An 18,661-nucleotide genomic window follows, 5' to 3' on the forward strand; every position below is an offset into this window, starting at 1 on the left:
ATGCCTGCAATCCCAGCACTTTCGGAGGCTGAGGCGAGAAGACTGCTTGAGCCCAGGAGTTTGAGACCAGCCTGGGCAACATAGTGAGACCTTGTTTCTAAAAAGGTTTTAGTAAAGACCTTGTCTCTACTAAAAAAAATTAAAAAGTAGCTGGGTGTGGTGGCGCACACCTGTAGTCCTAACTACTGGGGATGCTGAGGCAGGAGGGTGTCTTGAGCCCAAGAAGTTGAGGCTGCAGTGAGCTGTGATTGCGTCACTGTACTCCAGCCTATGCAACCCTGTCTCAAAAAAAAAAAAAAAAAAAAAAAAAGAAAAAAGGAAAAAAGCCGGGTATGGTGGCTCACTCCCATAATCCCAGCATTTTGGGAGGCTGATGAGGGTGGATCACCTAAGGTCAGGAGTTCAAGACTAGCCTGACCAATATAGTAAAACCCTGTCTTTACTAAAAATACAAAAATTAGCTGGGTGTGGTGGTGTGCACCTGCAGTCCCAGCTATTTGGGAGGCTGAGACAGGAGAATTGCTTGAACCTGGCAGGCGGATGTTACAGTGAGCCGAGATTGCGCCATTGCACTCCAGCCTGAGTGACAGAGTGAGACTCCACCTATAAAAAAAAAAAAAGAAAGAAAAATTTGCCACCCTTAGCATAAAGCAGTGTGCATAAGAATCACCTGGAGAATTTGTCAAGCTGTGGACTGCAAAACCCTGCCCCTAGACCTTCTAATTCAATAGATATTGGGAGGGGCCTGACAATTTGCATTTCTAATCTACAGGTCATGGTGAGCTGCTGGTCCAGAAACCAGATTTTGAGAGCCAATGGGCCAAAGTTCTGGGTGTTAATATACCAAGGCAGGTGAGACATATTGGTGGGAGTTATGTTGGAGGAAGAAAAAACAGGACAAACCTAGGGTCCATGTGAGGTGACACCCGCCAAAAAAAGATAAACTAGAAAAAATTATTGGCCCGAGAGGAGACTATAAACAAACTATGCCTTCGTTCTGAGTGATGGGAGTAAAAACTAAATTATCAATGAATAGAATATTCTTGTTCTTATGATATATATACTAAAGTACTTAGAGTGAAGGATTATAAAGTTTGCAACTTTAAAATGGTTAAGAAAAAAAAAAAGGTACAATTAAAACAAATGTGGTTTCATCCTGGCTACCATGGTGAAACCCCGTCTCTACTAAAAAATACAAAAAATTAGCCGGGCGTGGTGGCGGGCGCCTATAATCCCAGCTACTCAGGAGGCTGAGGCAGGAAAATAGCGTGAACCTGGGCGGCGGAGCTTGCAGTGAGCCGAGATCGTGCCACTGCACTCCAGCCTGGGCAACAGAGTGAGACTCTGTCTCAAAAAAAACAAAAAAACAAATGTGGTTTGGGAGAAAGGCAGGTCACTTGAGGTTAGGAGTTTGAGACCAGCCTGGCCAACATAGTAAAACCCCACCTCTACTAAAAATACAAGAATTAGCCAGGCGTGGTGGTGCACACCTGTAATCCCAGCTACTTGGGAGGCTGAGAGAGGAGAATCGCTTGAACCCAGGAGGCAGGGGTTGCACTGAGCAGAGATCGCATCATTGCACTCCGGTGTGGGCAACAGAGCAAGACTCCATCTCAAAAAAAAAAAAAAAAAAAAAAAAAAAAAAAACAAAAAAAAAACACAAATGTGGTAAAATGTTAATAGTTGGTGAACTAGGTGAAATTTAACTTAATGTTCATTTTACTAATTTTTGAAGTTTTTCTATAGATTTACAAATTTTCAAAATCACACATATAAAAACAATGCAAAATAGTAATTCTAAAAATAAAAATTTAAATTAGAAACAGATGTGTTTAATAGCAGATTAGACACAGGTGAAGAAAGAATTAGTGCACTGGGAGATATGAAGAAATTATCCACAATGTACCAACGTCTCATAGTGGTTAAGAAGGATTGAGCAAAGTGTCAACAGTCTAACTACTTCTGATTGAAAGACCAATGTGACAAATGGAAGATACATTTTGTTTTCCCTTTTTTCTTTGGAGACAGGATCTCACTCTGTTGCCCAGGCTGGAGTGCAGTTCCTCAAGCTCACTCAGTGCAACCTCCACCTCCTGGGTTCAAACGATTCTCCTACCTCAGCCTCTCAAATAGCTGGGACTATAGGTGTGAGCCACCATACCCGGCTAATTTTTTTGTATTTTTAGTAGAGATGGGGTTTGGCATGTTAGCCAGGCTTGTCTCAAACTCCTGGCCTCAAGTGATCTGCGCACCTCGGCCTCCCAAAGTGGATTACAGGTGTGAGCCACTGTGCCTGGGTTGGAAAATACATTTTCAATTTTCAAGCACATGGAACTTTTATTAAAACTGAGTAGTCATGTGCCACATAACAATATTTCACTCAACAACAGGCTACATTTACAATGGTGGTTCCCATAAGATTATCATAGAGCTGAAAATTCCTACAGCCTATTATTTACTATGCTATACTTTCGTTATTTTAGAATGTACTCCTTATTTCTTTTTTAAGCTGGCTATAAAACAGCCCCAGGTAAGTCCTTCACGGTATTCCAGAAAAAGGCATAGGAGACGATAGCTCCATGCATGTTACTGCCTCTGAAGATTGTCTTGTGGGACAAGATGTAGAGGTGGAAGACAGTGATATCGATGATCCTAGGCCTAGGATATGTATGTGTTTGTGTCTTCATTTTCAGCAAAAAGTTTAAAAAGCAAAATAAATGGTGAAAAATGAACCTAAATACATAATAATGTCTAATGTGGTTAAAAAAATAAAACACAACAATAACATGAATAGGCTATGAGTAAATGAAGTTAAAGCATTCAACGGACCTGTATTATTCAAAACAATTAGTTATTAACTGTAGATCTGAGCTGGGTGTGGTGGCTCACGCCTGTAATCCCAACACTTTGGGAGGTCGAGGCGGGTGGGTCACTTGAGGTTGGGAGTTCAAGAGCAGCCTGCCCAACATGGTGAAATGCCTCTACTAAAAATACAAAAAATTAGCTAGGCATGGTGGCAGGCGCCTGTAATCCTAGCTACTCAAGAGGCTGGGGCACAAGAATCGCTTGAACACAGGAGGTGGAGGCTACGGTGAGCCAAGATCGTGCCACCTGCACTCCAGCCTGGGCGACAGAGCAAGACTCCATCTCAAAACAAACAAACAAACAAACAACAAAAAAAACCACAAAACCCCCCCCCCCAACACACACAACAAAAAAACAAACTTTAGATCTGATAATTTAAGTATGTACATTATATTTCCTAGGATAGCTTCTTAAAGAACAGAAAGTGAATAATTTCTAAACTAGTTTAGGGCACAAAGGAGCTCCTGGAGTGCTTATGATGTTTTATTTCTTCACCTGGATGGTGGTTACAAGAGTTTTTGCTTGATAATTATTTGTTGGCCAAGTGCAGTGGCACACGCCTGTAATCCCGGCACTTTGGGAAACCGAGGTGGGTGGATCACCTAAAGTTTGGAGTTCAAGACCAGGCTGGCCAACATGGGGAAACCCCACCTCTATTAAAAATACAAAAATCAGTTGGGCGTGGGGGTGCATGCCTGTAATCCTAGCTACTAAGGAGGCTGAGGCAGGAGAATCGCTTGAACCCGGGCTGTGGAGGTTTCAGTGAGCCAAGATTGCGCCACTATACTCCAGCCTGGGTGACAGAGTGAGACTGTCTCCAAAAAAAAAATAATAATAATAGTAACTATTATTATTTGTTAAACTGTATCCTGCGTATTTTTTTACACATTGTATTTTACAATACAAAAATAAAAATGTAATAATGTGGTTCATTACAGTAACAAATTAAAGGAGATTATTCATATGATTATCTCAATAGATACAGAATAGGCATTCAATAAAATCCAATACCCATTCATGATAAAACCTCATAGCAGGGAACATAAGGGAACTTAACCTTACAAAGGGTATCTTAAAACACACACACACACACAAAGAGATACACACACACACACACACACACACACACACAGAGATGGAGAGACAGAGAGAGAGCGTGTGTGCTCTACTCAGGAATAAGGCAAAGATTACTTCTGGATCATGTTATACTAGAGACCCTAGTACCCCAATTAAGAAAAAAGGTGGTAGCTAGGCGTGGTGGTTCACGCCCGTAATCCCAGCACTTCTGAAGGTCGAGGAGGGAGGATTGCTTGAGCTAGGAATTGAAGACCAGTCTGGGGCACATGGCAAAACCCTGTCTCTACAAAAAATAAAAAAATTAGCTGGGTGTGGTGGTGTGCAACCGTAGTCCCAGCTACTCAGAGGCTCACATGGGGGTATCCCTTGCAACTGGGAGGCGGAGGCTGCAGTGAGCCAGGACTATGCCACTGCACTCCATCCTAGGTGACAGAGTGAGACCTGGTCTCAAAAAAAAAAGTGCTAAGAAGTACATACAAGGATTTGAAAAGATGAAAGAAAACTATATTATTCTGATGTTATATGTATATTAACTATATAGAAAACTCAATAAAATCTAATAAATTATTAGGATTAATTTAACAAATTTGCTGGATATAAAAATCAATACACAAAAATTAATTATATTTCCTTATACTGTCAATTAACAAAATGCAATTTAAAAAATACCACTTAGGGTCGGGCATGGTGGCTCATGCCTGTAATCCCAGCACTTTGGGAGGCCGAGGCAGGCAGATTATGAGGTCAAGAGATCGAGACCAGCCTGGCTAACACAGTGAAACCCCGTCTCTACTAAAAATACAAAAAATTAGCCAGGCGTAGGGGCATGTGCCTGTAGTCCCAGCTACCTGGGAGGCTGAGGCAGGAGAATCGCTTGAACCCAGGAGATGGAGATTGCAGTTAGCCGAGATCACATCACTGCACTCCAGCCTGGGTGACAGCGTGAGACTCCGTCTCAAAAAAAACAAAAACAAAAACACTTAGAATGAACAATAAATACAGTATTTAAATATACACACAACACACACACCAAAAATAATGGAAAAGATGCCAAGATTTTAATGGAAAAATTGTAAAAATTGTAATGTTTTATTGAAAGACATTAATAAAGACCTGCCCCGCCCCCCAAAAGACAAGAAAGACTATGGATATAAAGATTAAATATCCTAAAGACGCCATTTCTTCCCAACTTGATATATAGATTTAATGTAATTCTAATATAAATCCTAACAATTTTTCATGAAACTTGACAAGCTAATCCTAAAAAGTAAAGATTAAGGAACAGACAACAATAAAGGCACCCCTGAAGAATAAGGGAATTTGTCCTAATTAAAATCCTCGATAATAAAGGCAAGATGGAATTGGCCTAAGGAAAGACCTATGAACAGAATAGAGAGGTCAAAAACAAATTCATGCATATGTGGAAACTTAATATATGACACTCAAGACATTTCAGATCAGCAGTAAAAGACAGGACTTTTTTATTTTTTATTTTTTGAGGCGGAGTCTCATTCTGTCGTCAGGCTGAAGTGCAGTGTCCTGATCTTGGCTCACTGCAACCTCCGCCTCCTAGGTTCAAGTGATTCTCCTGCCTCAGCCTCCCGAGTAGCTGGGAATACAGGTGTGCACCACCATGCCCAGCAATTTTTGTATTTTTAGTAGAGACGGGGTTTCACCATGTTGGCCAGGATGGTCTCGATCTCTTGACTTTGCGATCTGCCTGCCTTGGCCTCCCAAAGTGCTGGGATTACAGGCGTGAGCCACCGCACCCAGCCAGGACTTTTCAAAAAAGTGCTCAGACAAATGGTTATCGGTATGGGAAAAAATTAAAATAGCCCATATCATGTATAAGTTTTAAATGGATAAAGAACTTAAATGTGAAAATCATAATTTATAGCTGGGTGTAGTGGTAGGTGCCTGTAATCCCAGCTACTTAGAAGGCTGAGGCAGGAGAATGGCTTGAACCTGGGAGGCAGAGATTGCTGTGAGCTGAGATCTCTCCACTGCATTAAAAAAAATTCATAATTGAAAAACTTTTAGGAAAAAACAGAAACTATATAATTTAAGGATAGATGTCACAAATAGCATTAGTCATAAAGGAAAAGACTGATTAATTAAATTCCATTAAAATTAAGAACTATATTAAAGATTCCACGAATTAAGTAAAAAGACAAGCCACAGACTAGAATACATCCACCACACAAACAACAAAGAATTGGTATCTAGAGAATATCCAACACTATAAACCAATAAGAAAAAGAAAAATACCCGAAAAGAAAAATAGGCAAAAAACTTGAACGGTTACTTATGAAAGAAAAAAAATCCAAATATCTTACACACACACACACACACACACACACACACACACACACACACACACAAAACCTTAATCAGGGAAATGCAAATGAAAATCCATCATACCATCATACTGGAAAAAACGTTATAAATTAAGTGCTGGCAAGAACATCAAGAACATGCAACAATGAGAAACCATACACTGCTGGTGAGAGCATAAACTGATAAAACAATCTTGGAAAACTAGAGTATTATCAATAAAATTAAACATGTGCATGCCGTATGATCAAGCAATTCTGCTTTCACCCTAGAGACGCTCTTGCCCATGTGCTGCAGCAGATACATGAGAAACTTTACAGCAACACTGCTTAACAGAAAAAAAAAAAAAAAAAAAAAAGGAAACAACTTAAAGCTAGATAAAGACATATTATACAGTGGGATACGATACAGAGGTGAAACTGAATGAACTATAGTTATATACATTAAACATGGATGAATCAAAAAAATCATGTTGAGTCTCAAAAAATATATATACACTGCCAGGCATGGTGGCTCACACCTGTAATCCCAGCACTTTGGGAGGCTGAGGCAGGAGGATCACCTGAGGTCAGAGTTCGAGACCAGTCTGGCAAATATCGTGAAACCCCATCTCTACTAAAATACAAAAAGTTGCCAGGTGTGGTGGCACGTGTCTGTAATCCCAGCTACTCAGGAGGCTGAGGCAGGAGAATCACTTGAACCCAGAAGGCAGAGGTTGCAGTAAGCTGAGATAGCTCCACTGCACTCCAGCCTGGGTGACAGAGTAAGACTCCATCTCAAAAAAAAAAAAAAGAAAAAAAAAAGAAAGAAAGGAAAGAAAAGAAAAAAAAATATGTAAAATATATAATTATATATATACACACACACACATACACAGTGGTTCCATTTTATGCAAAATTCAACATTAGCTACAACTAAATAGCATTATTTGGGGATACATTTATATGCAGAAAAATAAAGAAAATCATGAGAATGGTTAAAAATTTCAGAATGGCTGGGCATGGTGGCTTATGCCTGTAATCCCAGTGCTTTAAGAGACCAAAGCAGGAAGATTGTTTGAGGCCAAGAATTCGACACTCACCTGGGAAACAAAGCAAGATTCCACCTCTACAAAAAAAAAAAAAATAATAAAAATTATCTGGGTGCAGTTGTATATACCTATAGTCCCAGCTACTTGGGAGGCTGAGGCAGGAGGATCACTTGAGCCCAGGAATTCAAGGTTACAGTGAACTATGATCACACTACTGCACTCCAACCTGGGTGACAGAGCAAGACCCTGTCTCATTAACAAATAAATAAATAAAATTTCAGAAGAGTGGTTAATTCTGAGGCCAGGCAAGGTAAGGGAATAGGATCAGGGCAGGGCATACACATTCAAAGATATCCATGATATTCTATTTCTTGCCTTGATGGTGGATACAAGAATATTTGTTTTACTATTGTTATCACTTAAAATATATATTACTCATTCATTTTTATGTAGGAGGAGACCAGGGCCAAAGCAATGTTGTATATACAATGCAATACTAATTAAATTCACACAGAGACATGTGCACTGTTTAAGGGGAGAGGCACTGTGTGAATTAAAATCCTGGTGCTACCACCTATGCCCATGTATAGCTGAGTTAGATTTCCTAACCTCTTTGTGCTTCAGCTTCCTGATCTATAAAATGGGGCTAACAGTATTAATAATAAGAAAATTAATGAGATAACACTTGTCTATTATTAACATAGAAAAAATAACTATAAGGAAATAACACCCAAATAGTAAACATGATTACTTCTGGATGGTAGATTTACAGAAGACTTAATTATTTTTCTTACAATGATATTTTAGAGTATATAAAAATAAGTTTTTCAACAAATGGTGCAAGGACAACTGAAGATCCACAAAGAATGCAAAAGAATGAAGTTGGCTTCCTCCTTCATGCCATATAAGAAATTGAACTTAACGTGCATAATAAACCTAACTGTAAGAGCTAAAACTATAAAAGTCTTGTAAGAATAAATCTGCACAATCTCAGATTAGGCAATGCTTTCTCAGATTCAACACCAAAAGCAAAAATGACCCCCTCATCCCCCCAAAAAAGATACATTGACTTCATAAGACTAAAACACTTTTGCGTTTCAAAGGACACCATCGAGAAGGTGAAAAGCCAAAAAAACTGAGGAGGAACTCCTCCCCAACTCATTCTATGAGGCCAGCATCATTCTGATACCAAAACCTGGCAGAGACGCAATGAAAAGAGAAAACCAGGCCAATATCCTTAATGAATATAGATATAAAAATTCTCTGGCTGGGAGTGGTGGCTCACGCCTGTAATCCCAGCACTTTGGGAGGCTGAGGCAGGCCGATCAAGAGGTCAGGAGTTTGAGACCATCCTGGCTAACACGGTGAAACCCTGTCTCTACTAAAAATACAAAAAAAAAATTAGCCGGGTGTGGTGGTGGGCACCTGTAGTCCCAGCTACTCAGGAGGCTGAGGCAGGAGAATGGCGTGAACCCAGGAGGTGGAGCTTGCAGTGAGCCGAGATCGCGCCACTGCACTCCAGCCTGGGCAACAGAGCAAGACTCCATCTCAAAAAAAAAAAAAAAAATTCTCCACAAAGTACTAGTGAACTGAATCCAGCAATACATCAAAAAGCGAATCCAACAGAATCAAGTAGGCTTTATCCCTGGCATGCAAGACTGGTTCAACATATGCAATCAATAAATGTGATTCATCATATAAACAGAAGTAAAAACAAAAACCATTGCTTGCTCCTCAAGTAGTACTCCCTTCAACATCCCTTCATGTTAAAAACCCTCAACAAACTAGGCATTGAAGAAACATATCTCAAAATATCAAGAGCCATTTATGAAAAACCCATAGCCAACATCATACTGAATGGGCAAAAGCTGGAAGCACTCTCTGTGAGAACCATAACAAGACAAAAATGTCTACTCTCACCACTCCTATTCAACATAGTACTGGATGTCCTAACCAGAAAAATCAGGCAAGAGAAAGAAATAAAAGGCATCCAAATAGGAAGAGAGGAAGTAAAACTATCTCTGTTTGCAGCTGACATGATTCTATACCTAGAACACCCCATAGTCTCTGTTCAAAAGCTCCTGGATCTGATAAACAACTTTGGCAAAGTTTCAGGATACAAAATCAATGTAAAAAAAAAGTCAGCAGCATTTCTATACACCAACAACATTCAAGCTGGGAGCCTAATAAAGAATGCAATCCCATTCACAAAAGTCACAGAAAGAATAAAATACCTAGAAATACAGTTAGAGAGATGAAAGATCTCTGCAATGAGAATTACAGAACAATGCTGAAAGAAATCAGAGATGACACAAACAAATGGAAAAACATCCCATGCTCATGGAGGAAGAATCAATATTGTTAAAATGGTCATACTGACCAAAGCAATTTACATATTCAATGCTATTCCTATCAAACTACCAATGACATTCTTCACAGAATTAGAAATAACTATTTTAAAATTCATATGGATCCAAAAAAGATCCTGAATAGCCAAAGCGATCCTATGCAAAAAGAACAAAGCTGGAGACATCATCACTTCTCGGCCTTTTGTCTAAGACCAATTGTAGCTGCAGACTTCACATCACCTGACTTCAAACTATACTACAAGGCTACAATAACCAAAACAGCATAGTACTGGTACAAAAGCAGACACATAGACCAATAGAACAGAACAGAGAGCCCAGAAATAAAGCCACACACCTACAGCCATCTGGTTTTCCACAAAGTTGACAAAAACAAACAATGGGCAAAGAACTCCCTATTCAATTAATGTGCTGGGATAAAAGGCTAGCCATATGCAGATGATTGAAACTGAACCCCTTTCTTATACCACATACAAAAATCAACTCAAGTTTGATTAAAGACTTAAAAGTAAAACCTAAAACTATAAAAACCCTGGAAGATAACCTAGAAAATACCATTCTGGACATAGGCCCTGGCAAAGATTTCATGACAAAGACACCAAAAGCAATTGCAACAAAAACCAAAAATTGACAAATGGGACCTAATTAAACTAAAGAGCTTCTGCAAAGCAAAATAAACTATCAATAAACAGACAACCTACAGAATAAGACAAAATATTTGCAAACCATGCATCTGACAAAGGTCTAATATCCAGAATCCGTAAGGAACTTAAACAAATTAACAAGCAAAAAACAACCCCATTAAAAAGTGGGAAAAGGACATGAACAGACATGTCCTTTCATGTCCTTCTCTTTTCAAAAGAAGACATACACATAACCAATAAGCATATGAAAAAATGCTCAATATCACTTAACATTAGGGAAATGCAAATCAAAATCGCAATGAGATACCATCTCACACCAGTCAGAATGGCTATTATGAAAAAGTCAAAAAATAACAGGTGCTAGCGAGGTTGCAGAGAAAAGGGAAAGCTTATACAGTGCTGGTGGGAATGTAAATTAGCTCAGCCAATGTGGAAAGCAATTTGGCGATTTCTCAAAGAACTTAAAGCAGAACTATCATTCAACCCAGCAATCCCATTATTGGGTATATAACCAAAGGAATATAAATCATTCTACCATAAACATACATGCACACATATATTCCTCACGGCACTATTGACAATGGCAAAGATATGGAATCAACCTAAATGCCCATGATTGGCATTTAGGTTGGCAAACTAGTGTATTAGTAGTCTGTTCTCACACTGCTACAAAGATACTACCTGAGAAGGGAGGTTTAATTGACTCACAGTTCTGCATGGCTGGGAGGCCTCAGGAAACTTACAATCATGGCAGAAAGTGAAGGGGAAGCAAGGCATGCCTTACATGGTGGCAGAGAGAGTACAGGGGAAAACTGCCACTTTTAAACCATCAGATCTCTTGAGAACTCACTATCAGGAGAACAGCACTGGGGAAACTGCTCCCATGATGCAATCACCTCCCTCCCTTGACACATGGGGATTACAATTCAAGATGAGATTTGGGTGGGGACACAGAGCCAAACCATATCAACTGGATAAAGAATTTGTGATTCATATACATGATGGAATACTATGCAGCCATAAAAAAGAGCGAGGTCATGTCCTTTGCAGCAACACGGATGGAGCTAGAGGCCATTATCCTAAGTGAACTAATGCAGGAACAGAAAATCAGATACTGGGTGTTCTCACTTATAAGTGGGAGCTAAACACAGTACACATGAACAAAAAGAAGAGAACAACAGACACTGGGGCTTACTTGAGGGTGGAGGGTAGGAGGAAGGTGAGGATTGAAAACTGCCTATCAGGTACTATGCTTATTACCTGAGTGATGAAATAATCTGTACACCAAACCCCCATGATATGCAATTTACCTATGTGACAAACCTGCAAATGTACCCCTGAACCTAAAATAAAAGTTAAAAAAATTTTAAAAAGGTGAAATAACAACCCAAAGAACGGGAGAAAGTATTTGTAAATCATGTATGTCATAGAGTCTAGCATCCAGAATATATACACAACTCTTAGAACTCAATAAAAAGACAACCTAATTTGACAGACATTTCTCCAAAGACGACACACAAATAGCCAATAAGCATATGAAAACATGTTCAACATGTTTAGTCATTAGGAAAATACAAATGAAAACCACAATGAGATGCCATTTCATTTTGACTTCACACTGACTAGGATGGCTGCAATAAAAAACAAACAATAACAAGTGTTAAGCTAAGATGTGCAGCTAGCAGAACCCTCATACATTGCTGATGGGAATGTAAAATGGTGCAGTCACTGTGGAAGTTTGGGGATTCCTCAAAAATAATAAATGACCCAGTAATTCCACAGCTAGGTATATACCCCAGAGAAATGAAAACATATGTCAACACAAAAACTTGTACACAAATGTCCACAGCAGGATTATTCATAATGGCTAGAAAGTGGAGACAACCCAAATGTCCATCAGCTGATGAATGGATAAACAAAATGCAGTATATATTGATACAATGGAATATTCAGCCATAAAAAGGAATGAAGTTGTAGTGACATGCTACAACATGGATGAACTTTGAAAACATGCTAGGTCAAAGATGCCTGTCACAAAGGTCACATATTTTATAATTCAATTTACATGAAATGTCCAGAATAGAAAAATCCAGTCAGAAAGTAGATTGGTGTTTAAGACTTGGAGACAACAGGAAATAGGGAGTGGCCACTAATGGTTATGGACTTTCTTTTTGAGGTGATGAAAATGTTCTAGAATTAGTGGTGATGGCTGCACAACTCTGAATATACCACAGGCCATTGAATTGTACATTTTAAAAGGGTGAATTTTATGGGTATGTGATTTATATCTCAATAAAGCTGTCATTTAAAGAAACTGGCACATAACATTATTAACTTCAGGGACTGTGAGTATAGCAGAAGGTACCCTGCCCTTGATTCTAGCTCCTGTCTTTATTAACATGGCTCTGGGTCACCCACTCAATCACTGAAAGCCTAAGTTTCTTCATCTGTAAAATAAAAAGAATATAAACAACCCAATCTGTCTCATATGGTTGTTTTGGGACCAAATTAGATATTCCATGTAAAAGAGTGTTTGTGAATTATAAAATCTTACATAAATTCAGGTTATGCCTCTTCTGAAGTTGGATCAGAATAGTAGGAAGCAGGCTGGGTGCAGTGGCTCACTCCTGTAATCCCAGCACTCTAGGACACAGCGGGTGAATCACTTGAAATTAGGAGTTAGAGACCAGCCATGGCCAACATGGCAAAACCCTGCCTCTACCAAAAAATACAAAAATTAGCTGGACATGGTGGCGCGTGCCTGTAGTCCCACCTACTGGGGAGGCTGAGGTGGGAGAATTGCTTGAACCTGGGAGGCGGAGGTTGCAGTGAGCTGAGATTGCACCACTGCACTCCAGCCTGGGCAATAAAGTGACACCCTGTGTCAAAAAAAAAAAAAAAAAAAAAGTAGGAAGCATAAGGTAGGAATAAAAGATCATTACTGTTCAAGCTTTCCATAGCTTATTTCCACTTCATTTAGTCTCATTAGCTTAATGTTGCCTCCATTTCCTGTACCTTTTTCTTATTATTTACTATAATCTTATATCTTTTAAAGCCAAAAAGGGTAAACTGCTAAGCAGAGTTAGGGTAATGAAACAGCCAGAACTGTTTAAATAGATATACAAAGGCTATAGTTCTTTTTGCTGCTAAATTAAATGAATTCTCTCAAATCCTAAATCGAATAAAAGTATATAACACAAAATAATTAAGTAATGTTCTTGGGCATTTAATTCTGTTACCTCTAGTGCATGTATGGGAATTGAGCACCTTCCCCAGCCATTGAGATGACAAAGAGTGTCCACAGTGCTGGCACTTCCATGGATCATGAGTCTGTTTAAAAACTCTTCTTGAGTCAAACCAAACAAAATCAGAGAGAGTCCATTCTCTATAGGAAAAATAAAAGTTAGCTTTAACAAATTAGATTAGATTTTAGGATTATGATTTAGGAATTGATTTTTAATTACTCAATACTTCAGTACTATAATTACAAATATATTTATATTTACTGGATATCATGTACTATAATGATCTTAACTCATCATGGTTTTTCAACATTTTTATAGGCGAGTTTTGTGGGTTTTTCCTTTTTAGAGACAGAGTCTCCCTCTATTGCCTAGGCCGGAGGGCAGTGGTGTGATCATAGCTCACTGCAGCCTCAGACTCCTGGGCTCAAGCAATCCTCCCACCTCAGCCTCTGGAGTTGCTGGAATTACAGTTTCATGCCATCACACCCAGCTAATTTTTAAAAAACTGTTTTGCTAATTTAAAAAAATTTTTAAATTGTTTTGTAGCAATAGGGTTTCACTTTGTTTCCCAGGCTGGTCTCACACTCCTGGCTTCAAGTGATCCTCCCACCTTGGCCTCCCAAATGTTTTGATTACAAGCGTGAGCCACTGCACCCACCAAGAAAATTTGTCTTTAAAACACTGACCACAAGGCAAATTCTTATAAGAGCAATGCATTTTATGAAATAGCACTAAATTAGCCAGGCACAGTGGCTCCTGCCTGTAATCCCAGCACTTCAGGAGGCCGAGGTGGGCAGACCACCTGAGGTCAGGAGTTTGGGACCAGCCTGGCCAACATGATGAAACCCCGTCTCTACCAAAAATACACAAAAATTTAGCCAGGTGTGGTGGCGGGCACCTGTAATCCCAGCTACTCGGGAGGGTGAGGCAGGAGAATCACTTGAACCTGGGAGGCGGAGGTTGCAGTGAGCCAGATCACACCATTGCACTCCAGCCAGGGAGACAAGAGTGAGACTCCATATCAAAAAAAAAAAAAAGCACTAAACCCCACATTTCTACTTTATATTATCTTGCATAATCAATCCTGGAACCTTTAATCATTTACAGATGTCAGATTTCTGGTTTACTATTATAAAATAATTCATAGCATATTCCTGACACATAGAAATACATGATTACCAAAATTTGGGTATAGAAGAAACACACGGTTAATTCCAATAATCACAACATTCAATACCTTTGCAGAAGATGAATTATGCGGTGAATGAATGCATATCTGAAATATCAAAATCTCCCATGGGTACAGGGGCAAAGCAGGTAGTGAGAAAAGTGCAAGAAAAACCTAATCAGAAATAAAATGGCTCAGGCTAAGCATGGTGGCTCACGCCTGTAATCCTAGCACTTTGGGAGGCCAAGCCGGGATGATCACTTGAGCTCAGGAGTTTGAGACCAGCCTGGGCAAGGTAGTGAGACCTCATCTCTATTAAAAAATAAAAGTACAGCCAGGTGTGGTTGCTCACACCTGTAATCCCAACACTTTGGGAGGCTGAGGCAGGTGGACTGTTTGAGGTCAGGCGTTTCAGACCAACCTGGCCAACAGAGCGAGACGTCGTCTCTACTAAAAATACAAAAATTAGCTGGGAGTGGTGGTGCGTGCCTGTGGTCCCAGCTACTCTGGAGGGAGGTGGAGGTTGTGGTGAGCCAAGATCGCACCACTGCACTCCAGCCTGGGCGACAGAGTGACACTCTGCCTAAAAAAAAAAAAAAGTAAATTAAAAAAAAGAGAAATAAAATGGCCCATCTAAGAGAACAACTGAAACTCAGCTCCAACCCATAAGTTACTATGCAGGAATGCAGATCCAGTGTTGCCAGATCTTACAATTTTTTCTTTTTTTTGAGACGGAGTCTCACTGTCTCCCAGGCTGGAGGGCAGTGGTGCAATCTCGGCTCACTGCAACCTCCGCCTCCCAGGTTCAAGCAATTCTCCTGCCTCGGCCTCCCATGTAGCTGGGACTACAGGTGCCGGCCACCACGCAAGGCTAATTTTTGTATTTTTAGTAGAGACAGGGTTTCACCATATTGGTCAGGCTGGTCTTGAACTCCCAACCTCAGGTTATCCATCCACCTCAGCCTCCCAAAGTGCTGGGATTACAGGCGTGAGCCACCGCACCCGGCAGATCTTATAATTTTTCAGTAACAGCTGGAAATTAGAATTTGTGTGAAATCCTCTCATTCTGAATGTTTATAATCTTTTTTAAAAGCCTAGACAGTGCAAGCCAAGCAAAATAAATATGCAGTTCATACATGGCCCATGAGCACCTTGCTTACAACCTCTGCTTGTGAAGTCAAATGAAGACTCTTTGGGTTAAAAATAATAATAATAATAAACTTCATTTCTCTCAAACTTTCTCTTAGTATCTTAGCATTTAGCTGGGCAGAAATGACGTTAATTAAAAGCCAAACATATGAGACACTATTACCAAGAATAACAAGAAACTTCCTCTATAAACAATTACAATACCACTTAAAGGCAAGAGCAGGCACTGAGGCAGAAGTAAAATACAGTAGGAAAGCATACATCTCAGCAATGGATTTCAATCTAATACAAGACAGTCTCACCTGTCAAAACAAAGCACAGCTGCTGGTCTCCACTACTGTCTACAGGAATACACTTTGTGCCAAGGGAAAAACACTGCATGCCCTGGGTCTCCAAATCCCAGAGGGTAATGGTATAGCCCATCCTTTCCACTTCCCAAGTAAACAGTGCAGTGAATCCTGTCACAGACACACATTTAAGCTCTATGGGTTCCTCTTGTTCACTGATGTGCATTATTTTCCATGATCTTCCTGGATCACTGGTCTTGGCATGATCTTTCTGTAGAACATTATATTGCCCATGCATTATGTCCTGTGGAATGAAGGCCCAGCTCTGCACACTTGTACTGTGGTTACCAGATTCAGGTGACTCCAAATGCAAAATATCCTGGAACCATGGAGCACAACAGGAAACCTCCAGTTTGGAGTTCTTTATTGTTTCATTCAATGATGATAGCTGGGCTTTCCAAGACCTGGAAACAAGGTAAAATATAACTTAACACCTGTCACAGTAAAAGGCACTATGTAAAACACTAAACCAGGGCAAAGATGTTCTTAAAAAAAAAAAGTATCTATCAAATAAAGACCTTTAATGAAAGGGTACAGCGTCAGCATGATAAAAAATAAGAACAATAAACTACATGAAAAGGAAGTTTCTGTACCTATCAATTTGGAAGGAAAACTTGGCCAGTTTCATGTTGTAGGCAGAGTTAACAGGATCATCTTCATCTACGCCCTTAGGTCCTTGAATAGGAAGATCTTCTAGTATTCTTTCACACAGTAGGTGTCCTGGGTGTTGCCTACATTTAAAAATAATGATAGACATATGAAAAAATGATGATCAAACCCAAATTTGTGTTACTACTGCTCCTGTTAAAAATAAGAGATTACAGAGAAGGAATAGTACAACAAATTCCGCAGAAAGGAACTCCTTATCTCCCTTGCTTATGTCACAGTAATAGAGTGAACTCTAAGAATTTTACTCTATTAAGGGCAGTTAGCTTGATAAAGCAGTAAGAACACTTACTGTCTACTATATTTCAGATGTTATGCTAAACACTTCACACAAACTCTTATTTAAGCCTCTAACAACCCTGTGAGGTAAATATAACCCCATCTTATAGAAATGGAAACTAAGGTTCAGAAACACTTTGAAACAGACTAATGTGACTATCAAGTCTAGCTTTTTTTCTTTTTTTTTTTTTTGAGACAGAGTCTCACTCTGTCACCCAGGCTGGAGTGCAGTGGCGCAATCTCAGCTCACTGCAACCTCTGCCTCCTGGGTTCAAGCGATTCTCCTGTCTTAGCCTCCCGAGTAGCTGGGACTGCAGGTGCATGCCACCATGCCTGGCTAATTTCTGTATTTTTAGTAGAGACAGGGTTTTACTATATATTGGCCAAGCTGGTCTCAAACTCCTGACTTCCAGTGATGTGCCTGCCTCGGCCTCCAGTCCAGATTTTAAAATCACTCATTATACTGCCACCACAAAGTAAGATTTAGGCTGCGACCAGAGGAATGCATAAGAACTAGAAGGTAAAGTATGTATGTGGGTATAGGTGGGAGAGTATATGTGGAAAAGGGGGCTGTTACATTTGAGAAACAAAGAAGGCTAGGGTGGCTAATGTACAGAAAATGAGAAGTAAGATGGAATGGGATGAGGCTAGAAAGATGGTTCAGGGCCCCATAGGCTATTAAGAATTTTAAACTTTTATCTGAGGGGGAAAAGGAACCTGAAGAAGGCTTTTAAGCAGAAAAGCAATATGAACAGATGCAGCAGAGTAGCTAGGGGAAGAAGGGGAAGGATTTTATCTCTTTGAACACTTACATTATTAAATATTAATCCTTTAAACAACTTGAAGGTAATTTGTTGACACAACCATATGACACTGTCCCAGGATGATGATGAAAAGAAGTTAGAGAAGGTAGGGCGAAAATGAGAAGATGCATGAGAAAATAGTTCCCCCATCAACAAAATAAAAGGTAGATACCCCTGCCCCAGATGTTAATGACTGGCTACACCTCTGATAAAATATGCATTTTAACAACATCACTCTTAGCTACTCTATTGTGGATGGATTTGAGGGGGTAATAGGCATGAGGAGATCAAGTAGGAGACTATTAAAATAGTTCAGTTAAGAGATAATGGTGGCATAGAGTGACGACAGAAGAGTTGAGAAAAGTGGACAAAGAAACATTTAGGAGACAGAAAGGGTAGGACCTGATGATTAACTGGATGTGGATCTAATACCAAAAAGAAGTTGGAGATACAGTAGTTCCCTCTTATCCACAGTGGATACATTCAAGACACACAGTAGGTACCTGAAACTGCAGATAGTACCAAACCCTATACATACAGTTGACCCTTGAATATCACAGGTTTGAACTCCATGGGTCCACTTATATGATTTTTTTTTTCCAAAAATACATTGGAAAAATTTGTAAAGATTTGCAACAATTTGTTTAAACTCACAAATGAACCATGTAGCCTAGAAATATATTTTTTT

At 39.6% G+C, this 18,661-nt stretch overlaps 1 protein-coding gene across 8 annotated transcripts in view, besides 1 other annotated feature; it reads right to left on the reverse strand.

The window, feature by feature from the left end:
* The window catches only part of SPG11 (SPG11 vesicle trafficking associated, spatacsin), a 100,967-nt gene that overhangs the window by 72,615 nt on the left and 9,691 nt on the right, over nt 1-18,661 (reverse strand). For all 8 annotated transcript variants that reach the window (XR_001751402.2, NM_001411132.1, NM_001160227.2 and 5 more), the window contains exons 5-7: nt 16,819-16,956; nt 16,181-16,629; nt 13,556-13,701 (exon numbers count right to left, since the gene is read on the reverse strand). Coding sequence is in view for 7 of the 8 variants with exons in the window: in NM_001411132.1 (NP_001398061.1) it covers nt 13,556-13,701; nt 16,181-16,629; nt 16,819-16,956 (733 nt within the window). In the remaining variant the exon portion in view is untranslated. The remainder of the gene's footprint in view (nt 1-13,555; nt 13,702-16,180; nt 16,630-16,818; nt 16,957-18,661) is intronic.
* Nucleotides 9,168-9,272: a silencer, noted in NCBI's record as "fragment chr15:44936676-44936780 (GRCh37/hg19 assembly coordinates)". NCBI's record gives its function as "represses an EF-1alpha promoter that drives an FKBP-Casp9 reporter gene in an ReSE screen in phorbol 12-myristate 13-acetate-treated (for megakaryocytic differentiation) K562 erythroleukemia cells {active_cell/tissue: K562(+PMA)}" and the evidence as "EXISTENCE:reporter gene assay evidence [ECO:0000049][PMID:32094911]".

The sequence above is a fragment of the Homo sapiens genome, chromosome 15 (genome assembly GCF_000001405.40).
Source record: "Homo sapiens chromosome 15, GRCh38.p14 Primary Assembly".
Taxonomy (NCBI): Eukaryota; Metazoa; Chordata; class Mammalia; order Primates; family Hominidae; genus Homo; species Homo sapiens.